This window comes from Homo sapiens, chromosome 7 (genome assembly GCF_000001405.40).
Source record: "Homo sapiens chromosome 7, GRCh38.p14 Primary Assembly".
In the NCBI taxonomy this organism is placed as follows: domain Eukaryota; kingdom Metazoa; phylum Chordata; class Mammalia; order Primates; family Hominidae; genus Homo; species Homo sapiens.
Window position 1 is genome coordinate 2,936,398 of NC_000007.14, and position 24,188 is coordinate 2,960,585.

Genomic DNA, 24,188 nt, shown 5'->3' on the forward strand with positions numbered 1-24,188 from the left:
CTAAACAGACACAAACACAACAGTAAAAGATGTGGATTATGCTGGGCGTGGGAGGGAACTTCCGGCTTCAAATATATGAAGAGCCAACCGGGCACAGTGGCAAACGGCTGTAATTCCAGCTCTTTGGGAGGCTGAGGCGGGAGGATCGCTTGAGGATAGGAGTTTAAGACCAGCCTGGGAAACAGTGAGACCTCGTCTGTACAAAAAAATTACAAAATTAGTCAGGAATTGTGGTGTGTGCCTTTAGTTCCGCTACCCAGGAGGCTGAAGTGGGAGGACTGCTTGAGCCCAGGAGTTTGAGGCTGCAGTGAGCTGTGATAGTGCCACTGCATTCCAGCCTGGGCGACAGAGTGAGACCCTGTCTCAAAAGCAAAACAAAACTAAACAAAGGACAAGGAGCCATTCATTGCACAGGGAAGCGGCGACTGGTCACAGCCCTCAGTGGGTGCCAGGGGGCACCTGGCTTCTGGTTTGGGGCCCCACAGGGAGGTGGCGACTGGTCACAGCCCTCAGTGGGTGCCAGGGGGCACCTGGCTTCAGGTGTGGGTCTCCACGGGGAGGTGGGGACTGGCCACAGCCCTCAGTGGGCACCAGGGCCCACCTGGCTTCAGGCGTGGGGTCCTGCCCGTCCCGCCCCACCTGGTCCAGGTTGTTGCTGTCCTTGGAGAGGCGCCGCAGCTTGCTCTCCAGGTTGACGATGCAGGCCTCCCGCCGCACCATCTCGATCCTCATCTCGTCGTTCTTCTCCTCCAGCTCGCGGATCTGCTTCCTGTACTTGTCCTTTTCGATTAAGCACTGCGAGTACTGTGTCTGAGCTTCATCTCGGGAGTGGAAGGCCTGCCAGGGAGAAGCGGGACGAAGGCTGCTTTGGGGGTTGCACCCCAGCCAAATCCAGCTGGGCCCAGGGACAGGCATCATCCCAACCCAGGGGCCAGCCACATCGTCTGTGGCTCTCGTCTGCAGTCTGACCCCTGGGCGTGTCAGTCACTACCTTCTTCATTAACGCGATCACAGAGCCGATGGTCCGACCCTTGCTAGTGGCAGGCTCTGTGTTGAGAGCTTTGATGCAGTGTCCCTGGAAGGCCACAGCCTGTCCCTATGAGGCGGTGCTACCGTAATTATCCCCATTTTACAGATGAGGGCACTGAGGTCAGGGGTGGCAGCTTGCCTATGGGCATACACCTTATGAATGACAGGGCTGGATCTGAACCCATCCTCTCACCCGAGAGAACACACAACATTTAAGAACCATGCTTGGTCGTGGGAGCTGCTGGAGCCCAGCTCGGATCCCCCTGCTACCCAAACGCCTGTGACTTCCAAAAAAGCCTTTTGGAATTCATCTTTTAGAATTCATCTTTGGAACAGAAATGGGAAAGATGGATTCAGGAGTGATCCCTGCATTGTCAGTGATGTTGCACTGGACAAAACACTCTGAAGGAGCCGGTGGTCTGGGGTGCGGGCCCCGCTGTGCAGCCTCGCCGCCCTGCACGCTGCAGGTGGTGCCTGTACCTGGTCCCGCTCCCGCTCCACCTCCTCCAGCTGCAGCATGACCGTGTTCATGCGGTGCTTGTACATTTCACAGTCCTTTCCCAGGGTCGAGCACTTGAGCTCCAGGTCCTCCTTCTCCTCCAGGTACTGTGAACCACACAGAGAAATCAATATGCGCATCGAGCAATCAATAGGTCAGGACTGAAAGCTGTTCTCTGCTCGTGCCTTCCCGCCAGCTGGCTGGAGCTGGCCTGTCCCTCCCTAAGCTGGCATGGTCAGGACATGGCCTGCCCTTCTGGGAACCGACTATCTGACTGTTGGGGCTCAAGGTAGGAGACCAATCAACCCAGCATTGTTGTGAACCCACTACAGACCAGGTAACATAGGGGAGGACAATGTGATCTCAGTCAGGAGGGGGACACAGGTGCTAAGCTGGTGCAATAGCTTGTACATGCCCAAGGGTGGCCGGCACATCTGGGATCCTGCAATCCGCAAGGTGTGGGTGAGGCTCTGAGACTCACACCTTGGCAGGTATGTGGGTTCCCCCAATCCCAAGCCCTCACCCTCCCCTCTGCCCACATTGCTCCCACCCCCAGGCCCTCATCTGGTTGATAAACTGCAGCTTCTGCCAGGGGCTGAATACTGGGAGGTACAGGGGATTTATGCCAGGGGTCTGATCTAGTCCCTGGAAAGGAGTGTGGGGTCAGGGAGGTCCTGCTGACACACACCACTGCCCCCTGGTGTGAAGGGGGCCGGCCGAGGGCACCGCTGGGCGGGCGATCCCCACTCCCACCTTGTCTCGCAGCTCCTCTGCCTGGCGGGCCTCCTCCTGCAGGTTGTAGATCCTGTTGACCAGCTCCTGCCTGTCCTCCAGGGCCTCCTTGCGGTCGTGTTCCAAGATGTCCAGGATGGCCTTGTCTGAGTCTGGCAGGCTGCGCTTCCCGGCCTGGGTGGGAGGGAGGAGGTTTCAGAGGGTCAGGGTCGGGGTGGGGAGCCAGGTGGTCCTGGAGGGCAGGGGACAGAAGAACCAGCAACAGATACGGACAGAGCAGAAGGTTTTGTGCCTGGAAGGTAGAGGCAAGAAGAGATGTATGTCCCCTGGGGTCTCTAAGAAGCTTAGCATTTAAGAAGTTTATTGCCTGGAAAGAAGCAGAAAACTGGCTTTTGCTTGGGCGTATCCTGGGCCTTTTGTTCTCCCTGGCGCTTATCGGAGCGCAGAGAAGCAGTTGCTGCACCCGAAACACTTTTTAGATGCTGCCCCTGAAATATCAAGGAATCTGTTCTGGAGAAGCTGGGTTCATCCTCGGCTCTGAAACAGAGCCTCATATACCAGGCAGCCACTCCTGGGGGGACTGTTCTGGAGGGAGCAGGAGGATGCATGTTTTTTTTCTTGCCCTGTAGATATGTTTTGGGATGTCACTCCTCAGCAACTTCCTCCTCTGTGCCCACAAGTGACTCGGCGATGACAAGTGTGGGGAGGCATTTGAGGTTGGAACAAGAGGCACGGAGCTTACAGTTGAGTTTCTTGGAATCTTTAAGGGCACGTAGGTTTCCTAGATGTCCTTGTCTCTTCCCACAGTGCCCAGGGCATTGATTTCCACGTGGTTGGTGATTTTCCTGGAGTGCTTCAAATAAGCACATGTTTTCCCAAGTATGATATCCTATCTCTGACAAATGGGTGGTGGGGGTCACCGCTTTACAGAGGAGGAGACAAAGGTGCCCAAGGATGGCACGCATGCCTGTGATCCTGCAGTCAGCATGGGTGAGGCTTGGGGACTCACACCCTGGCAGGTTCATCGTTTCCCCCAACCCCAAGCCCTCACCCTCCCACTGCCCGCGCTGGCCCCGCCCCCAGGCCCTCACCTGGATGATGGACTGCAGCTCCTGGTTTTTGGTCTTCAGCATTTCATTCTCCCGCTCCAGTTCCAGAACCTGCTCCTTCTTGGGCCGATTTTCAATGTCATTCTTCAGTTTTAGAGACTGATTTCTCTCCAGCTTACATTCCTCCTCCATCTTATTCAACCGGTGCTTTAGCTGATCGATCTGAAATACCCCAAGGGTGCCCAGGGGAGAAGGCAGGTGGCAAGAAACACTCAGAAAAGGCAACGCTTCCCCCGATCCCACTGGGCTGGCAGCATAACCTGAGTTATGCCCCTCTCTCCTTCTTCCACGGGCAGAGAAGGGCTCCAAGAAACCTTCTCCAGTAAAACAAACTGTCATCACCCTGTTGATGGAGAGTTCCTGATTAGTCTATTTAGAATAGCTCCAAAGGGGCTACAGGCCTCAGAGAAAATTCCCTCAACCTTTGTCAGGTGGGACAGGTTATGGATTTTGGGATAAAAGAGATCCAAGTTGGTGTTTCCCACTTCAACGCCCTTCTCTGATGGGTTTCAAATTCTGATCCTCGGAACTCAAGGATTCCCCTGAGGAATCCAGGGGTTACCCAGGGGGAAGGAGGAGATGGTTGACAAGTTGGGGTTCTGGGCATCCACACTGACTTCACATCCCAGAACAGCTCTGCTTGTGTGGTTTGTTCTTCTGGGTTTCACACAAGATTTTATTTGGATAAATAGCACTGTTGCTAAAAAGGAAGAGGAAGAGGAGGAGGAAGAGGAAAAAGAAGAAAAAACAGGAGAAGGAGGAGAAGAAGAAAAGTAGAGGAAGAAGAAGAGGAAGGGGAAGAAGAGAAAAGAGAAGAAGAGGAAGAGAAAGAAGAAGAGGAAGAGGAGGAATGAGAAGGAGAAGGAGAGGAGGAGGAAGAAGAGGAAAAAGAGGAAGAAGAGGAGGGGGAGAAGAAGGAAGAGGAGGAGGAGAGGAGGAGGAGGAAGGAGGAGAGGAAGAGGAAGAGAAAGGGGAAGAAGGAGAAGGAGAAGAAGAAAGAAGAAGAAGGAAGAGGAGGAGGAGAAGAAAGAAGAATAATAGGAAGAAGGAGGAGAAGAAGGAGGAGGAGGAGAGGAAGAGGAGGAGGAGGAGAAGGAGAAGGAAAAGGAGAAGGAGAAGAAGACAGCCTGAAATTCACTGAATTGTAATTTCACAGGATCTCCACCCTAAAGAACCTCCCTAGACTTAGTGGCAGAAAGAGTAGCTTCCTGGAGGAGGCAGCTATTGCATCTGGAAATGAGACAAGTGGAGATGTGCTGATTTTCACACTCAAGAGTTTAGTGTCAGGAACTGGGACCAGCAGAAGACTTCTTCAACCTGTGAGACTAACCTGTGTTCCTCCCCAAACACATCGGCTTTGCTAAAGTATCCCAAACAAGAAGGTTGCATTCGAGGGCTATAAAGAAAGGAGGCACCAAAGGGGAGAGTGTCATTTTTCAAATCTAGTCTTGGAAGGAGAATCATCTCAAGGAATCTGGCAGGTAGAGAGCAGTGGCTTTAGCAAGAAAAGACCAGCTCCTGCACCCCAGTGATTAACCTGAGACGATGAAGAAAGGGGCGTGCAGGAAGCAGCCCGAGGCCAAGAAAACCAGCCAGGGACTCTGCTGGCCAGATGTTCTTCCAAATTCTACTTACACTTTCTCACTATTAATGTATCTCCAGGGAAACATAACACAGGAGGAAGTTCCGGGAGAGAAACTTGTAAGTCTCTGCCACAGGGTAACTTCCCCAAATCCTAGGTAAAAACAGCATAGAAATCTCTCCTGCTCATGCAAAAAAAAAAAAAAAAAAAAAAAGCTCCTCAGCATCTTCAAAGCTTAACCCAAGTGTCCTGTGGTAAGTCCCGGGTCCCACACGAGCAGGCATGGGGCGCTAGCATTGTGGGGTGCTTACAGGGTCAGCCGCTCCGCCAAAGACCTACGGTTCAGTATCCCAGCAATCCTAGGGCACACGTATTACTTTCATTATTGACATCTGCAAATGAGGAAACTGAGGCCAATAGCTAAGTAAGTCGTAAAGCATAAAGCCAGAATTTGAACTCAAAGCTACAGGACTTACAAAGCTCATGCTTCTAACCAAAACACTATTGCCTGCTATGCCACTGACTCAATTCACCTGAATTCCCGGTGGATTGTTTACGGATCTGTCTGCTTCACTAAATTGTAAGTGACCTGAGCACAGCTCACGTTATTTATCCCCATGTCTCCCACAGTGCTTAGCACAGTGCCTCACACGTGGCAGGTGCTTAATAAATATTCTGTGAGTCTATTTTCCATCCAGCAGCCAGAGTGATCCTTCTCAGACATAAATCAATTGTCACTCTTCAGCTCTCAATCCTTCAGAGGGTTCTCATCACAACTAGAATAAATCCCAAAGTTCTTACCATGCCCCCATGATCTGGACCCCGCCATCCCTTCCACTCCCTTCTGCACCATTTGTTTATTTGGCTCTGGCCCCACTGACTCTCCTGCCATTTCTTTTCTCTTTCATTTGTTTCTCTTCCTTCCTTCCTTCCTCCCTCCCTCTTCCTCCCTCCCTCCCTCCCTCTTCCTTCCTCCCTCTTCCTTCCTTCCTCCCTCCCTCCCCTTCCTTACTCCCTCCCTCTTCCTTCCTTCCTCCCTCCCTTCCTCCCTTTCCTTCCTTCCTCCCTTCCTTTCTTCCTTCCTTCCTTCCCTCCCTCCCTTCCTGTCTTTTTCCTTCCTTTTTCTTTCTCTTTCTCTCTCTCTCCCTTCCTTCCTTCCTTCCTTCCTTCTAGTTCTTTCTTTTGACAGGCATGGCTCACTGCAGCCTCGACCTCCCAGGCTCAGGTAATCGTCCTGCCTTATCACCCCTAGTAGCTGGGACTACAGGTGCATACCACCATGCCTGGCTTATTTTTGTAGAGATGGGGTTTTGCCATGTTGCCCATGCTGGTCTCAAACTCCTGGACTGAAGCAATCCTCCCGCCTTGGCCTCCCCAAATGCTGGGATTACAGGTGTGGGCCATCAAGCTCAGCCTTCCTGCTGTTTCTTCAAAAACAAAAACAAAAACAAAAACAAAATGCCCCCTACTTATGGGCTTTGCGAGTGCTTTCCCCTGAGACTTGCATGGTTGGCTCCTTTCATCCCTTCAGATCTCTCTTCATGTGTCTCCTTCTCAGAGACCTTTCCTGGACACCCTAGTTAAAGTAGCAATCCTCATGTTCTGTCCTCACGCCCTGTCTTCTCTTCTTGATAGCACTCATTTCTACCAAGTATCTATGCATTTGTTTTCTGATTACAATGTTAGTTCCACGACAGAAGGGTTTTAGTCTTCAGCTATGTATCCCTGGAAAAGAGCCTGGGGGCCAGGTGTGGTGGCTTATACCTGTAATCCCAGCACTTTGGGAGGCCAAGTGTGCAGATTGCCCGAGCCCAGGAGTTCAAGACCAGCCTGGGCAACATGGTGAAACCCTGTCTTTACTAAAAATAGAAAAAGGGGGGTGGGTAGGATAAAAATAGAAAAAAATTAGCTGGCATAGCATGTACCTGTAGTCCCAGCTACTTGGGAGGCTAAGGTGGGAGGATCACCTGAGCCTGCAAGGCCAAAGCTACAGTGAGCTGTGATCACACCACTGCACTCCAGCCTGGGTGACAGAGTGAGACTCTGTCCAAAAAACTCCTCCAAAAAACCCAAAAACAAAAAGCCTGGTACCCGATGGAACTCAATAAACAGAAAGAATGAACGAGGCCGGGTGCAGTGGCTCATACCTGTAATCCCACCACTTTGTAAGGCCAAGGGAGGCAGATCACTTGAGCCCAGGAGTTGCAGATCAGCCTGGGCAAAATAGCGAGACCCCTTTTCTACAAAAAAATTGAAAGAATAGCCTGGCGTGATGGTGGGCACCTGTAGTCCCAGCTACTTTGGAGGCTGAGACAGGAGGATCACTTGAGTCTAGGAGGTCAAGGCTTCAGTGAGCCATGATCACACCACTGCAGCCTGGGCAGTGGAAGACCCTGTCTCAAAAAAAAAAAAAAAAAAAAAAAAAAAAAAGAAAAGAAAAAGAAAGAAAGAAAAGAAGGAAAGGAAAATAAAAGAAAAGAAAAAAGAAGATGTAAATCTCCTTAATTCATTTGCGGAGTGAGCCATTCTGGGTCTGCATGCGCATGTGCAAGGTGGATCTGGGACTGAGCCGGTGGTGGAAAGCTGCGCACTGGGTCGGTCCTTGTGCGCATGTCTGCCCATGCGCACAGGGGATGTAGGCCGCTTACCCGGTAGCGCTAAGCACTATGGGTACACGTGCAGGTGCATAGTGGACCTAGAACTCCCAGAGGCCCTGTGTCCTCCATTCCCCCACACCTGGCTGGCAGGAAGCTCCGGCAGACCACGTGCATGTGCCTGCACCTGCTTTATGGGAGAATTGAGCCCTGGTGACATTTGTTTCCCCCGGGTCACCCTGGCGGAGTAGCCCTTGGGCACCCCTCACCTCGAGTTGGAGGTCTCGGCTCCTCATGACCGCCATGTTCTTCTCCTCACTGAGCTGTGCGTAGCGCATGGCTAAGTTGTAGTTGTCGTCCTTCACCTTGACCAGCTCGTCATTGTAGCTGTCCCGCTCTTCCTTCATCTTGTAGTACCGCTCCTGGAAGGTTAGCAGCTCCACGCGCGTCAGCGTCATCTGCTTCTTCTCATCCTCCAGCTGCCGCAACCTGGCCAGCAGCTCGCAGCGTTGCAGGTCCTTGGCCTTCATCTGCTGCTGCAGCTTGATGACCTCGTTCATCAGGAAGTGCGTGAGGCCCTCGTGGCCTTCCTCCACTGTGGAGAGGGGGCACCCAGTCAGGCCTGAGGACTGGGAAGTGGAAAAAGGAGGTTCCAGACGCAGGGCAGGTGCCATTCATTCACTCACTCACCAACGTTGTGCCAAGCTCTTTACTCACTCTGCCCACGAGGCACTGGGGATTCAGAGTGAGCGAGACTCACAGCCTTGGCCCCGGGAGAGCTTAGGGTGTAATAAGAGAAACACATTTAAAAAAATCAAATGATACCACAAATAGAATTACAGACCGTGAGGATTTCACAAAGTAAAGGTAGATGGGGCTATGAGAGTGTGTAGCAGGGGCCCAGATCCAGCCTTGTGGGCAGAGGGGGTTGGAGAAGGCTCCTGATGGTTGAGGTAAAATGTTAAGTTCGGGTGGGAAAAGGCATTCTAGGAAAGGGGAACAACATTGCCAAGGCCATATGGGGAGGAGGGAGGAACTTGGCATATTTCAGGAACTGAACGAAGACCAAAGTGGCCGAAGGAGAGAGAGAGAAGAGAAAGGCGAGGCTGGTGGTGTCAGCAGGGACTGGATCATGAAGGGTCCTTGTGGGCTGCATTAAAGACCTGGGACTTTTTTTATATTTTAAAACAGGGTCTCGCTCTATTACCCAGGCTGGAGTGCAGGGGCATGATCATAGCTTATTGCAGCCTGGAACTCCTGGGCTCAAGCAATTCTATGGCTGCAGCCTCCAAAAGTGTTGGAATTTCAGGCATGAGCCACTGTGCCTGGCCAAGACCTGGGTCTTTACAAAGAAGCAATGAAAAACCACCAAAGGGTTTTAAATAGGGGAGGAAGAATGGAGAAAGCACTGGAACAGATCGGGAATGGATATGGAGAGTTAATGGGGTTGTGGGAGTCTGGACTGTGGGAAGTGTTGGGGCGGGCGAGAAGACTGATTCAAGAATGTTTAGAAAGGAAGATTAAGAAGGCAAGATGCTCAAGGGCTCTGGCCCATGAGACACTAGAAAGAATGCAGGCAAGGCAAGGACAAGATCTACGGGGTAGAATGAACTTGTGTTCCACCTGGCGCCATTCATGGGGGATGGTCCGTGAACACCCACTTCTCTTGGTTCCTGCTTCCCTTTGCCCCTGTTAACCTTTCATCATCAAGCAAAATAAGTGGTTGACAGACCCCAGTTCTATATGTCATAGATTCACAGCTTAAGAACCATGCCACTACTGAGGACACACACACACACACACACACACACAGACACACACACACACACGCCCCTCCTCTTAGAGTCCAGATGTTCCCAATGGCAAAAGCACTTACCCACAATGGTGGAGAATCTCCGAGTGGGCTCTTTCCCAGTCACCAGTTTGTACAGTTCTGGGTAATAAAATTCTAGGCTCTCCAAGAAGACCACATAGCCCCTTTGCCCCTTGGTATGTAGAATGTCCAACAGCCGGCCTAGGGGAAAGACCAGATCACTCTGTGAGAATACATATCTGATGGAACGCAAGTCTCTGTGGCTGGTCTCATCCTGGACTTGTGTCCTTCAATCAACTCTAAGAAGACAGTCTCCCCACATTCTATCACTTCTGAGTTGTATCTTGGAGCCCAGATGACGTAAATCAAGGTGCCAGGCCCTCCGCAGGGATTTGGTGAGCGTTAGTTTTCTGTTTCTAATAAACTGGTAGAACCAGGATAAATGGAATTGCCGCCCCAGTTTTGAAGAGTTTCCCAACTGACCAGGGCCAAAATGAACCACGTAGGCACCAGGTCTTCTATGACTGAAGGAGGTTGGAAGCACGATAAAAATTATGGAATAATATATGGTTCTCTGGGATTGAGAGCAGGAAGACAAATCTTTGGGTGAGAGGCTAGGAAAAATCATAGGAAGTAGGGATAGTTCTAGGTTTTTCTTTGGGATTATTACACAACCTGGAAACACCTTAAATGTAATTTCCCCAGCAGGTCCCAGTTTCTATACTATTGATTCCACTTATTGCTTACATTTCTGGGCCCTTCCTTAAACATTTTATTTTCAGATATTCTTCTGAGATATAGAAGAAGAAAGGTAGGTCTTAAAACTCGACCTTTTCCCTAGGACGGACAGAAGAAATAAATTTGATGGTATGTCAACCCCGATTGTTTGGTGAAGCCGCCTGCAGTACTGTTTCGAGAAACATTCCAAAGTTACATCCAAGCTCAGTGGGAAAGCATGCTGATTACTGATGTCTGCCATGGATGCCAGAGAGTCGCAGCTGATGAGCCACTTACCACCAGCCACGCTGGGGGACAGTGATTATCAAACCTTCTAAACTGATCCATAGAAAGAAAAACATTTAACATTGTGGTCTAGTGACCATAGACAAAGATAACTCTACAAGTACATGTGTATACACATGTACATAATGTAAAATTAAAACAAGCTTCACAAACCATATTTATTACCTTTACTGAATATGATAAACCCCCCCTCCAGAAGTCAGGCTAGAAAAGCTTGTGGAACCCTTCTCGGAATATTTTTAAACAGATAAAGTACATCAGATTACAAAAGAAACCAATTATAATAAAATCCAGTTATCAAATATTAAATAAATTTGTGTTTCAGTAACATACTTCTTTATTAATGCATTAAATAACAAGACCTCTCGGCAGGTCTAATAAGTACTGTAATTTTGAAAGAGAGATGAGTGTAAGTGGCATTTTGAGAGATTTGCAGTAACTGTAGTGATAGGAAGAGATCTGTAATTTTCATTGTTGCCTAAGTCACAAGAATTACTAATCACTCCTGTAATTTGTGGCTTCCTGACATTTGCAATTGAGGGCAATGCTGAATTGCAGTTGAGGTTGGTAAAATAAAGATGGCATTTCTTCCCCCCTCCCAGTTTATGGATCCTTTGAGTTCCATACACAGACAGCTTGAGTTCTATACACAAATGAGTAGGTGATGGACTGCGGACCCCAGTTTAAAAATCCCTGACCTAGAGCAACTTCATTTTGGTACAGCTACCAAAGGGTATGTCTGGAAGTTGCCGTGTGCGGTAGCCCTCCCTCTCCCGCAAAGAGGTCCTAAGGTTACCTGCTCGGTTGATCTTGGATGGCAGCATAGGGGCATTAAGCACTTCATCTTCATCCTGCTCATCAATGACCTTACACTGACGCAGGTAGGGCGTGAGCTTGGCAGGGTTGATATAGCGGCTGAGCATGTGCCGGTTACACTCCACATTCTCCCACAAGGCGTCCTCTTCATCCTTCAGCGTCTCCATGTAGTCATCCATCTCTGGCCCTCCTCCTTTTAGACATAAACCCCAACAAGCTTAATAAAGCAGTCTCACTGGAACAGCTCTATCAACTCCTCTGGAGTGACCTCTAGAATATATTAAGTTAAAAAAAAGTCCTGTACACTAAAGTATATATAGCATTTTACCTTTTGTCTAAGAAAGGGGTTATGAATATAAAAATATATATTTCCTTATATGCTAAACATAAACAATGGAAGTTTAAGCCATCAATTTTAAAAAAGATTATTTATAGGGCAGAGAGGGAAAATCCTGCGGTTGAGTCTACCCTTTCCATCCAAGTTTTTATGTCTTACTAAAAATGTATAGTTCCCTAAACAATATATACTATTGGCTTTTGTTTTAAAATTTCACATAAATGGTGTCATACTGTACGTTTCCTTTTTCAGCATGTTTTTCTCCCTCTACATTTTTTTTTGAGATTTATCTAGATGGATACATATAGATCTAAGTCATTCGTTTTTAAAAATAGCTTTATTGTGATGTAATTCACATAGCATACAAGTTACCTTTTTAATATGTTCAATTCAATGATTTTAGTATATTCACAGAGCTGTGCAACCACCACCACAATCAATTTAAAATCATTTCCGTCATTTCAAAAAGAAGCTCCTCACCCTTTATTAGCCACTCTCAATTTCCCTCTAATCCCTGCTCCTCCAGCCCTGTGTAACCACTCGTTCACCTTCTGTCTGTATAGATTTGTCTTTTCCGTACATTTTATACAAGTGAAATCCTACAATTTATGGTCTTTCATGTCTGGCTTCTTTCACTCAGCAACTTTTCAAGGTTTGTTCCTGTTGTAGCATGTATCAGGACTTCACTTATTTTAAATTGCTCAGTGATTTTTTCATTGCATGGACATGCCCCATTTTGCTTGTCTGTTCATCCACTAATGGACATTTGAGTTATTTCTACCTTTTGTCTATTATGAACAATGCTGCTATGAACATTCATGTAAAAGTTTTTGTGTGACTGTATGTTTTTATTTCCCTTGGGTAGATACGTAAGAGTGGATTGTTAGGCCATATGGCAACTCTATATTTAACATTTTGAGGAATTGCCAAATTGTTTTCCAAAGCAGCTGCATCATTTTACATTGCCACCAACAAGCCATGAGGGTTTTAATTCCTCCATATTCTTGCTAACAACTTGTTATTGTCTGTCTTTTTTATTACAGCTCTCCTACTGAGTGTGAAGTAGCATCTCATTGTGGTTTTGATTTGCATTTCCCTAATGACTAACGATGTTGAGCATCTTTTCATGTGCATATTGGCCATTTGTGTGCATTGAGAAATGTCTATTCAAATCCTTTGCCCATTTTAAAATTGTGTTGTTTGTCTTTTTATTATTGGGTTGTAGGATTTTGTTATGTATTCTGGATGCAAGCCACTTATCAGATATATGACTTGCAAATATTTTCTCCCACTCTGTCAGTTGTCTTTTCACTTTCTTAAAAGCATTGTTTGTAGCACAAAAGTTTCAAATTTTGAGGTAGTCCAATTTATTTATTTTTTCTTTTTTTCACTTGTGCTCTTGGCATGTATCCGAAACACCATTGTCTAACTCAAGATGATGAAGACTTACTCCTGTTTTTTGCCTTTGAATATTATACCTTAGTTCTTACATTGAGGATGATCCATTTTGAGTTAATTTTTGTGTATGGTGTGAGGTAGGGGTCCAGTTGCATTCTTTTATGTGTGGATGTCCAGTTGTCCAAGCACAGTTTGTTTGAAAAGACTACTCTTTCCCCATTGAATGATCTTGCTACCCTTGTTGACAATCAACTGACCATAAAAGTAAACATTTGTTTTTGCACTATTGATTCTATTCCATTGATCTATATGTGTATCCTTATGCCAGTACTACATTGTCTTGATTACCGAAGATTTGTAGATTTGTAGTAGGCCTTGAAATTGGGAGTATGGGTCTCCCAACCTTGTTCTTTTTCAAGATTGTTTTGGCTATTAGGTGCCTTTTACCTAATTTTAGGATTAGGATGTCAATTTCTGCAAAAAAGGCAGTTGGCATTTTGGTAGTGAATCTGCTGAATATGTAGATCAATTTGGAGAGTACTGCTACCTAACAATATTAAATCTTCTGATCTATGAACAGGGGGATGTCTTTCTTTAAATCTTCTTTAATTTCTTTCAGCAATGTTTCATAGTTCTCAGTGTACAAGTCTTGCACTTCTTTTGTTAAATATATTCCTAAGTATTTCATTAATTTGATGACATTATAAATGGGAGTTTTTTTCTTAATTTCATTTGTGGGATATTCATTGCTGGTCTATAGATATATAATTTATTTTTGTATATTGACCTTGTATTCTGCAACCTTGTGAAATCATTTATTAGTTCTGTTAGTTTGTTAGAGACATCTTATGATAGCCTATATATAAGATCATGTCATTTGCAGATAAAGGTAGTTTTACTTCTGTTTTTCCAATCTGGGTGCCTTTTATTTCTCTTCTTTGCCTAATTGCTCTGGCTAAAATACCTCCAGTACAATGTTAGATAGAAATGTTAACAGCAGGAATCCTTGCTTTGTTACTGATGTTAGCGGACAGCATCCAATCTTTCACTGTCAAGTATGACATTAGCTGTAGGCTTTTGCTTTTGTTTTTAAGATAGATGTCCTTTATCAGGTTGAGGAAGTTTTCTTACCTTCTTGGTTTATTGAATGTTTTTATCCTGAAAGGGTTGTCGATTTTGTCAGATGCTTTTTCTGCATTTATTGAGGCTGCCATGTGGTTTTTGTTTTTTATTGTATTGATAGGGTTACACTACCTGACTTTCAGATGTTAAACCAACCTTGTATTCCTGGCATAAATCCCACACAGTCAGGGTGTATAATTCTTTTTATATGTTGCTTTTTATATGTTGCTGGATTTAACTTGTTTTTTAAAATAGGATTTTTGCATTCATATTCATAAGAGATATTGGTCTGTAGTTTTCTTTTCCTGTGATGTCATTGTCTGGTTTTGATATTGGCCTCAGAATGATTTAGGAAGTGTTTCTTCCTCTTCTGCTTTTTGGAAGAGGCTTTTAAGAATTGATATTAATTTTTCTTTTGTTTGGTAGAACTTACAAGTAAAGACATCTGGGCATGGGTTTTTCTTTGTGGATTATTTTTACAAATTCAGCCTCCTTACTTATTACAGGTCTGTTCATATTTTCTGTTTGTCTTGAGCCAGTTTCAGTAGTTTGTGTCTTTCTAGGAATTTGTCCATTATATCTAAGTTATCTAATTTATTGGCAGCAATTGCTCACAGTTCCCTTCATAATTCTTTTTATCTCTATAAGTTCAGTTATAATTTCCCCCCTTTCATTTCTGATTCTAGTAATTTGCATCTTCTCTCTTATTTTGTCGATATATCAAAGAACCAACTTTTGGTTTCATTAATTCTCTGTATTCCTTTTCTATTCTCAGGTTCATTTGCTTCTGCCCTAGTCCTGATTATTTCCTTTCTTTTCCTTGCTTTAGGTTTAGTTAGCTCTTCTTTTTCTACTTTTGCAAGGGAGGAGGTAAAACTGCCTTTGCAAAAGTTATAACAGAAAATTCTGACAGTGAAAGAGATCTGACCTAACCAATTCCATCTTGCTTCTAACCTCCAAGCAGTCCTCGTTCATTCCTGGGCAGAGGCCAAACTAACTTTGGGAGGAACTTAGTTCATAGATTAATGTATTATTCTGCTGCTGTCAGATGGAGTGGACTACAGATGTCTGTTAGGTCTAGTTTTTTTTTTTTTTTTTTTTTTTTTTTTTTTTTTGATAAAGAGCCTCCCTCTGTCACCAAGGCTGGAGTGCAGTGGTGCAATCTTGGCTTACTCCAACTTCTGCTTCCTGGGTTCCAGCCAGCATGTCTGGCTAATTTTTGTATTTTTAGTAGAGACAGGGTTTTGCCATGTTGGCCAGGCTGGTCTCGAATTCCTGACCTCAAGTGATCCACCTGCTTTGGCCTCCCAAAATGCTGGGATTACAGGTGTAAGCCACCACGCCCAGCCAGGTCTGGTTTGTTTATAGTGTTGTACAAGTTTCTTATTTGTTGATCTTCTGCCTAGTTGTTCTATCCATTATTCAAAGTAAAGTAATAACGTCTTCAACTCTTTTTTTTGAGACAGAATCTCACTCTGTTGCCCAGGCTGGAGTGCAATGGCGTGATCTCAGTTCACCGCAACCTCTGCCTGCCGGGTTCAAGTGATTCTCCTGCCTCAGCCTCCTGAGTAGCTGGGATTACAGGCACCTGTCACCATGCTTGGCTAATTTTGTATTTTTAGTAGAGACGGGGTTTCTCCATGTTGGCCAGGCTGGTCTCGAACTCCTGACCTCAGGTGATCTGCCTGCCTCGGCCTCCCAAAGTGCTGGGACTACAGGCATGAGCCACTGCGCCTGGCCAACGTCTTCAACTCTTATTGTTGAATTGTGTATCTCTCCCTCCAGCTCTGTCCATCTTTGCTTCATGTATCTGGGGCTCTGATAGGTGCATATGCTTATAACTCTTATAGCTTCTCAGTGGATTGACCATTTTATCATTATGAGATGTTCTTCTTTAGCCACAGCCAAATTCCTGGACCTGGGGATTTCACAGTGGTGGGATGGGTGAGTGTGCTGGGGGCAATTGAGCTAGAAGGTGGCATTGGTGTAGCCATGGAGGTTGGAGCTCAGCCAGGGTGAGGAGACATGCAGGCAGGTCAAGGCTATGAGGGCAGAGAAGAAACCAGCAAGCAGAGGAAGCTGGTCTACCGAGTGGTGCCATGGTGAGCCCATGAGGTTCCATGAGAAGCGGATGGCCGGGGTCATCTCTCTTGCTGCATAACTCAGTTCCCAACCTCATGAGCCTTGGCCTTCTGTGGTGTCTGGTCCTTGTTGTAGGCTTTCAGTATCCTTCCACCTTCCCCGTTAATTTGAGCTATTAAATTTGTTTTAAAAATTATCATTTTTAGAGACAGGGTTTTGCTCTGCCACCCAGGCTGGAATGCAGTGGGGCAATCCTAGCTCATGGCAGCCTCAAACTCCTGGGCTCAAGCAATCCTCCCACCTCAGCCTCCTGAGTGGTTAGGACTACAGGTGTGTGCCTCCACCCCTGGCTGTTTTGAACATTTTTTGTAGAGACAGGGTCTCACTACAGGCATGCACCACCATGCTGTAGTTTGCCCAGGCTAGTCTCAAACTCCTGGCCTCAAATGACCCTCCTACCTCAGCCTCCCAAAGTGCTGGGATTACAGTCATGAGCCACCACTCTTGGCCAATTTGAGATATTTCAAGTGGGATTTTGTTCCCTGCAACCAAAGTGCCTTGAGTAAAAATATCTATTTTCTGTCATGAGCAAAAGTTGGATTTAAAGTAATTAAAAATGAGGATTTGGTCTCCATTGAATCCAATGAACTTTGTATAGATGACAACCTCCATAGTTCACTGCCTTAAGTTCTGACCTCTATGAGCCTTTTGCTAACACATGGCACTGGCTACCTGGGTCAAAGCCAGCAACACCATAGACACGCCTACAACAATGGCTCATTCTGACAACATGACCACGTGATCATTTGCATTCACAAAGGAAAATGTACTTGCTTTTATTATTTTCAAGAAGTGGACAGCCTAAGAATTTTATTCAACGAATTATTTATTGACTAGGTGGCAGGCACTGCTGGTGTCTCTCCACACGACCCCCGACTTCCTGCTAACAGAATCCTTTTTTTTTTTTCCCCAAAAGCCAGGCAGTCTGATGCTTCAGGGAGGCTGAATATCTTTTGAGCTGCAAAGAGTGGCCCTTGTTTGGTCTCTACCAGTAGCGTAGAAACAAGCAGGTGAAGTGCTTTTGGCCATGCAACCTGCAGGAACATGCACTGGGAGCGGTTCTGGAGGTTTTCCTTGATCTTTAACAGGGACACCTTGTCCTTGGGCTTTTGGCTATGAGTGTGTAAAGGTGAATGTGATGGTTTGGGTCACTGCACCTCAGCCTGTATCCCTCAGGTGACATCAAGGACCGAGGGTCTTTCCAGCTCTCTGCTCTGCCATCCTGAGCCCCTCCCACCTCTGGACTCCTGTAAGATATAAATGCTCTTTGTCCCAAGCCTTGTGAAGTTGGGTCTACTGTGATTTGCAGCCCAAAGCCTCCTAACTAATAAAGACATCTACTTAGTACAAAGACTTGCTCAGCACCATGAATGCACAAGAGAGCTGAAAGGCAGGTGTTAAGAAGCTTATACCTTTTGCGGGGTCAGAAGGCACAGGCCTAGGAATTAAACAGCAGCTCAAGGCAAGAAGACAGGCAGGTCTGGATAGACCAACCAGCATTTCTTACCAGCTTTCATGAACAAGGAGGTTGTAGTTGGCACATGCCAACCACGTGTTACAAGAGTGCTCAGTGACATAGAAAGCCTTCCTCCCGGGACCCCGGGTGACCCGGTGCAGCCACCTCAGCGGCCTGTCAGCTAAGCAGGAAATAACTAGGGCCAAATCTTCTTTCCAGAGCAGAGATGAAAGGGACCCTCCTACCTCATTGTAGCTCTCTGCAGCCTTGAGCTCCCAGGCTCCAGCAATCCTCCCACCTCAGCCTCCTAAGTAGCTGGGACTATAGGCGCACACCACCATGCCCGGCCAAGGGACCCTTCTACCTCAGATGCAGTGAAATCACAGACCCTGGATCTCGTTGAAACCTGTCCCATCGTTAATGCCCCTTTGCAGCACAGTTGCTTAGCAACCAGGGGTGAAGTTGAACTTGGGAAAGTGGACCAGTTTGTGAGTGCCTGGACTGAAAGGGCCTCTTCAACCTCAGCCGACTTGAGTGAGAACTGGCTCTGTGCTGAGCACTGTGCTGGGAACAGAGGGTGCAAAGACGTTTCGCACACAGACCCTGGGTTGCAAGCTGCTCAGAGGTTGGTGGTAAGTGTCAGCCGCCCACACAAGCCCCGGTGGGAGGAACAGCATCCTCTGGAACCCTGCAGAGAGGGCAGCCACACGCCCTGCTGGCAGAACAGGAAGTGCTTCCCCACTGGGCTGCCCGCGTGCCAGGCACCGTGCCTGACCCTTTATAGAAATTATCTCATTTGGCTGGGCATGGTGATTACACCTGTAATCCCAGCACTTTGGGAGGCCGAGGTGGGCAGATCACTTGAGGTCAGGAGTTCGAGACCAGGCTGGCTAACATAGCGAAACCCCGTCTCTTCTAAAAATACAAAACATCAGCTGAGCATGGTGGCAGGTGCCTGTAGTCCCAGCTACTCAGGAGGCAGAGGCAAGAGAATCACTTGAACCCAGGAGGCAGAGTTTGCAGTGAACCCAGATTGTTCCACTGCACTCCAGCCCTGGCAACAGAGCAAGACTCTGTCTCCAAAAAAAAAAAAAAAGAAATCATCTCATTTAACGACCACAGCGGCTCTGAGAGATGGATGTGCTCACCCTTGTTTTGTAGACAAGGAAACCAAGAACCAGAGAGCCCTAGCAACTTGCTGAGGGTCACATAGCAAATCTAACTGGGGTTCCAGCCCACGCCTCCTTCATGTGAAGACCTCCCTGAGGTTCCCCCTCCTTAGAGAGCTGGGAGCATTTTGAGTGGGAGTTTGCTAGGCAGAGGGACAGGCAAGATAAAGTAGCCTGGTGAAGGGTGAGTTCATATCACAAACACCCGGAGCCATGATCTGGGGGCATCTGTTCTCACTGGAGTGACAGAGTAAGGACGCTATTGCACCTCTGCTCCCAGCAGGGGCTCACCTGCAGACATTTGTTACTGTATGAAAAAAACCTGCAAGGGCTGGAAAACAAGTTGGTTTCACCTAGTAGGGTTGAACATGCAGAACATACATGCCAGGAGTCCCTTCTAGATATCATCCCTAGAGAAATTCTACCCGTGTGCATCCAGAGACCTGTGCAAGAATGTTCAACAGCAGCACCGTGTATCCAAAACCAGAAACCACACACAGACATCGTCCAACAGCGTGGATAAATACACTGTGTATTCAACGCTGGAGCACTCCCCAGCAGTGAACATGGAAAGAAATATGACCATGTGCATAAGCACAGGTGGACCTCAGGAACATGATGCTGAGTGAAAAAGCAAGCCACAGAAGATGCATGGTATAAAACTGTCTATAAGTACTTCAAAAACAGGCTGGGCACAGTGGCTCACGCCTATAATCTCAGCACTTTGGGAGGCCCAGGTGGGAGGATTGCTTGAGGCCAGAAGTTTGAGACCAGCCTGGAAAACACAGCGAGACACCATCTCTACAAAAAATAAAAACAAAGTAGCTGGGCATGGTGGTACACGCCTGTAGTCCCAGCTGCTTGGGAGGTGGGAGGATCACTTGAGCCTAGGAGATCGAGGCTGCAATGAACTACGATGGCACCACTACATTCCAGCCTGGGAAAAAGTGAGACCCTGTCTCTAAAAAATTAAAAAAATATATACATATATATAAAACAAGGCTGAGTGAGATGGCTCATGCCTGAAATCCCAGCACTTTGGGAGGCCGAGACGGGAGACTGGGAGTTTGAGGCCAGCCTGGACGATATAGCAAGACCCCATCTCTACAAAAAAATAAAAACTTAGCTGGGTGTGGGGTTGCGTGCTTGTAGTCCCAGCTACCCAGAAGGCTGAGATGGAAGGATTGCTTAAGCCAGGAGGTTGAGGCTGCAGGGAGCTATCATCATACCACTGTACTCCAGCCTGGGAGACAGAGCAAAATCCTGTCTTAAAAATAATTTTTTTTTTAAACATACAAAACAAAACCCTACTGTTAAGGATATACGGCAAAACTATACCAAGAAACAAGGGGACTGATAAAAATCAGAATGGTGGCTTCCCATGGGGAGGGGCAGCCAGACAGATGTGACCTCGGAAGGTCCCCTGAGGACATTGGTGACACAAGGAATTATGTTATGCTTCAACTGGGGACATGAGTGTCTGTTTCATTGTTCTCTGCCTCATAGATACACATTATATATACATATTTATATGTATGAAATATTTCATGGAAAAAATCTATGGAGAGTGTAGCTAGCCTCAAAAGAAAAAAAATGTCTCAGACGCAATTCGAAATGTATTTTCCCTTCTAACACTTCCCTCTAACTCAGCATGACTCAGCCTCATCACCGGGGATGAACCCAGTGACTCTGTCAAGCTCTGGGCAGTTTCTTTGAAGGCAGTTTTCTCAGAAATGTGCCCAGAGGCCCCGAGGCTCTGAACTTTAACAGCATGGCAGGTTGGATGGCCCGTCCCTACCTAAGTCTTAGCTGGAGCTTGTCGCAACTCGCAACTCAAACCCAACCTTTGGCAGGGTTTGACTTCCAGTGTGAGACAGGTCCTAGGCCACACCAATCTCTTTGCAAATGGCTGAAAAGCAAGTGCCAGACCCCCAGGCTAGGCTCCACAGAAAGGGCTGTGTTGCTCACCTTCCCTGGGAAGCAAAGGACCAGGAGGTGACCCACCTGAGGACGAATTCCATGAGAGTTGCTGGCCTCACGTCCTGACTTACTCATTCAAGACCTCTACTGTGGCTTCCTCTTGCTGTTATGATAAAGTTCCAATCTTTTTTTTTTTTTTTTCTTGAGATAGGGTCCTGCGCTGTTGCCCAGGCTGGAGTGCCGTGGCGTGATCTCAGCTCACAGCAGCCTCTGCCTCCTGAGCTCAAGCAATCCTCCTGCCTCCACCTACTGAGTAGCTGGGACCACAGGCAAACACCACCGTGGCCAGCTAATATTTTAAAAATTATTTTTGTAGAGATGGGGTCTTGCTATGTTGCCCAGGCTGGTCTCAAACTCCTGGGCTCGAGTGATCTTCCCACCTTGGACTCCCAAAGTGCTGGGATTACAGGCATGACCACCATGCCAAGCCATGTTCAACTTTTTTTTTTTTTTTTTTTTTTGAGATAGAGTCTTGCTCTTTCACCCAGGCTGGAGTGCAGTGGCACCATCTGGGCTCACTGCAGCCTCGGCCTCCTGGGTCCAAGGATTCTCCTGCCTCAGCCTCCTGAGTAGCTGGGGTTACAGATGCCCACCACCATGCCTGGCTAATTTTTGTATTTTTTGTAGAGACGGGGTTTCACCATGTTGGCCAGGCTGGTCTCGAACTCTTGACCTCAGATGATCCACTTGCCTCGGCCTCCCAAAGTGCTGGGATTTACAGGTGTAAGCCACTGTGCCTGGCCCATGTTCAGCATCTTGATCTTGATCTTCAGGCCCTGCAAGGTTTGCTTTCTGCCAGCCCCTCAATCTTATCACAACTACATCCCCGGCCTGCCAGCCTTTTCTCTGATGGTCTCCCAAGCTCCGGCTGGTGTCACAGCCTGATCTCTGCCCCTCTCTCCCTTCACTACTCCCGCCCCTCCGCCAAGTCTCAGGTCACCATCACTTGCGTTTTTTCCAATATAAAGGAACGGCCAGGCACAGTGTCTCCTGCCTGTAATCAGTGCTTTGGGAGGCAGAGACAGGGAGATCGCTTGAGGCCAGGAGTTTGAGACCAGTCTGGGCAACGGAGCAAGGCCCTGTCTCTACAAAAAATTTAAAAAATTCACCAGATTTGGTTGTGTGTGCCTGTGGTCCCAGCTACTTGGGAGGCTAAAATGGGAGGATCACTTGAGCCAAGGAGGTGGAGGGCTGCAGTATGTTATGATCACATCACTGCACTCCAGCCGCAGTGATAGAACAAGACCCTGTCTCTCCATAATATATAGAGAGGTATAGAGGGGATAACAGATGCCGAGTACCTGGCATGGAGGGGTGCTCACACACAGGGGCTGCTATCCCGCCATTGGGGTGTGACTTCTACACTTTCCGGCTGGATCTTGTCGTCCCTTGAGCCAGGCTCCCGTTGCATCTGGACTTGCAGTGCTTGGGATCTGAAAAGGAAGAGATAATCAGCCTTGGAGCAGGAGGCGGAGGATGGAGAGAAAGGGAATCGTTCTGGGATCAAAGAGATGTTCTGCTTTGGAAGAAAAGGCCAGGAAGTCCTGAGGGGCGTGTCACCCTCGATGACACTGGCAGAGTGGACCACACCAGGGGCTGCAGGGGGAGAGGGGCTTCTGTTCCACCCTGGGGAGTGGACAGCCTGGGAGGCCACTGACACAGGTCCTGACACCCCTGGAGATGGGGAGGAGGGAAGATGGCAGCCTTGGGCATGCTCGTGGCCAGTGTGGAAGATCTTTGATGGAAAAGGCTTTGATGGAAACCTCTGCAGACTGGAGCCGCTCTAATCAGCTGCTAATTCATTAGGTCAAAAGCAGCAAACCCCGTTCCCAAACCCCGAAGAGTTCCCGTCACTGTGAATTATGTCTTTAGCCTCCAGCCTGCCATGGGTTTGGGCAGGAACACGCGGTAGCCCACACACGCTGTAATTTCCCAAGGGCAGTGTTCCTTATGGTGACTGACGAGGCCACCGCTAATGCCCCACTCAGCCATCCAGGAGCCCAGCTGGGGGTTTGGGTTTTTTGGGGAAGGGTCAGTTCTCCTTCTGGAGAAAGGAGGCCAGGATCTCACTCTGTTGCCCAGGCTGGAGTGCAGTGGGACAATCATGGTAAGAGGGAAAGGTGGGGTTCAAACCCTTGTACGGTGGAAAGAGCCTTATGCCTGTCCCCAAAGCTGCTTGGAACCTGGTGGGGGGCAGGCTTTAGGCAGCTGCTCTAGGACAGTTCCATTCAGGAGTGACAGGGACCCTCGGCCGCTGATGTTTAATCAAGGACTTCCTTGGTTTTGGCTTTGAAGACTAACCACAGGTGACATGAGATCTCCCGGGGCTGACAGAAGCTGTTCCTGTCGGGCAACGGCTGGGCTTGGAGTGAACTGTCAGAGGCCCTCAGCCCCGGGGAGGTGGTGGCGACAGGCATCGCTGCAGGACACCATCTCCCTGGTCTCCTCACGGCCTCCCTGCTCTGTGGCTGGGACAGGGCCAGGGGTTGGGGCTGGGTGGGGAAGGGAATGAGAGAACCAAGGGCCTCTGCAAAGGCAGCAAAGCAGTCCACAGGCCAGTCAGCAAACACAAAGGGAAATGACACTGTCTGCATTTCTTAAAAAAGAGAATGTGTTTATCATCAGAAAAAAAAAGGCTTTAAAAAATTGTAAGGAAGGCTTTAATTGTGGCCAGGCATGGTGGCTTATGCCTGTAATCCCAGCACTTTGAAAAGCTGAAGTGGGAGGATTGCTTGAGGTCAGGGGTTCAAGACCAGCTTGGGGGAACATAGCGAGACCCTATCTCTACAAAAAAAAAAAAATTATCTGGCCTGTACACCTACAGTCTCAGCTACTCAAGAGGCTGAGGTGGGAAGATCGCTTGAGCCCAGGAGGTTGAGGCTGCAGTGAGCCATGATTGCGCCACTGTACTCCAGCTGGGGTGACAGAGCAAGACCCTGTCTCAAAGAGAAAAAAAAGAAAGGTTTTAATTACAAGAAAGGAGAAACAAGGCTGGGTGCTGTGGCTCACGCCTGTAATCCCAGCAGTTTGGGAGGCCGAGGTGGGCAGATCAGCTGAGGTCGGGAGTTTGAGACCAGCCTGACCAACATGGCGAAGCTCCGTCTCTACTAAAAATACAGAAATTAGCTGGGTGTGGCGCATGCCTGTTGTCCCAGCTACTGGGGAGGTTAAGGCAGGAGAATCGCTTGAGCTGGGGGCAGAGGTTGCAGTGAGCCGAGATCGCACAGTCGCACTCCAGCCTGGGCTGCAAGAGTGAAACTCTGTCTCAAAAAAAAAAAAAAAAAAAAAAAGGAGAAACAGGCTTGAACAACTACCCTTGCTGTTCTACCCCTACCCCCTACCCACTATGTCAACGTAGGTTGGGAAAACTGAGGCACAAGAAAACCA

The 24,188-nt window shown here is 47.8% G+C and overlaps 1 protein-coding gene and 1 long non-coding RNA gene across 3 annotated transcripts in view, besides 3 other annotated features; one reads left to right on the forward strand and one right to left on the reverse strand.

The window, feature by feature from the left end:
- The window catches only part of CARD11 (caspase recruitment domain family member 11), a 137,726-nt gene that overhangs the window by 30,256 nt on the left and 83,282 nt on the right, over window positions 1–24,188 (reverse strand). For both annotated transcript variants that reach the window (NM_032415.7, NM_001324281.3), the window contains 8 exons: window positions 22,103–22,234; window positions 11,178–11,390; window positions 9,422–9,559; window positions 7,815–8,140; window positions 3,352–3,531; window positions 2,282–2,434; window positions 1,510–1,635; window positions 640–837 (listed from right to left, as the gene is read on the reverse strand). In NM_032415.7, the coding sequence (NP_115791.3) occupies window positions 640–837; window positions 1,510–1,635; window positions 2,282–2,434; window positions 3,352–3,531; window positions 7,815–8,140; window positions 9,422–9,559; window positions 11,178–11,390; window positions 22,103–22,109 (1,341 nt within the window). In that variant the 5' untranslated portion in view covers window positions 22,110–22,234. The remainder of the gene's footprint in view (window positions 1–639; window positions 838–1,509; window positions 1,636–2,281; window positions 2,435–3,351; window positions 3,532–7,814; window positions 8,141–9,421; window positions 9,560–11,177; window positions 11,391–22,102; window positions 22,235–24,188) is intronic.
- Window positions 1,021–1,917: an enhancer, noted in NCBI's record as "H3K27ac-H3K4me1 hESC enhancer chr7:2977052-2977948 (GRCh37/hg19 assembly coordinates)". NCBI's record gives its function as "activates a minimal SCP1, AML or CMV promoter by ChIP-STARR-seq in primed H9 embryonic stem cells {active_cell/tissue: H9 hESC(primed)}" and the evidence as "EXISTENCE:reporter gene assay evidence [ECO:0000049][PMID:30033119]".
- Window positions 2,821–3,012: a silencer, noted in NCBI's record as "fragment chr7:2978852-2979043 (GRCh37/hg19 assembly coordinates)". NCBI's record gives its function as "represses an EF-1alpha promoter that drives an FKBP-Casp9 reporter gene in an ReSE screen in K562 erythroleukemia cells {active_cell/tissue: K562}" and the evidence as "EXISTENCE:reporter gene assay evidence [ECO:0000049][PMID:32094911]".
- CARD11-AS1 (CARD11 antisense RNA 1) lies at window positions 7,638–10,690 on the forward strand. The gene is made up of 2 exons (NR_187443.1): window positions 7,638–8,111; window positions 10,200–10,690. It is a non-coding gene; the product is annotated as a CARD11 antisense RNA 1 (long non-coding RNA).
- Window positions 18,286–18,345: a silencer, noted in NCBI's record as "silent region_17890". NCBI's record gives its function as "represses an Ori minimal core promoter by ATAC-STARR-seq in GM12878 lymphoblastoid cells {active_cell/tissue: GM12878}" and the evidence as "EXISTENCE:reporter gene assay evidence [ECO:0000049][PMID:35858748]".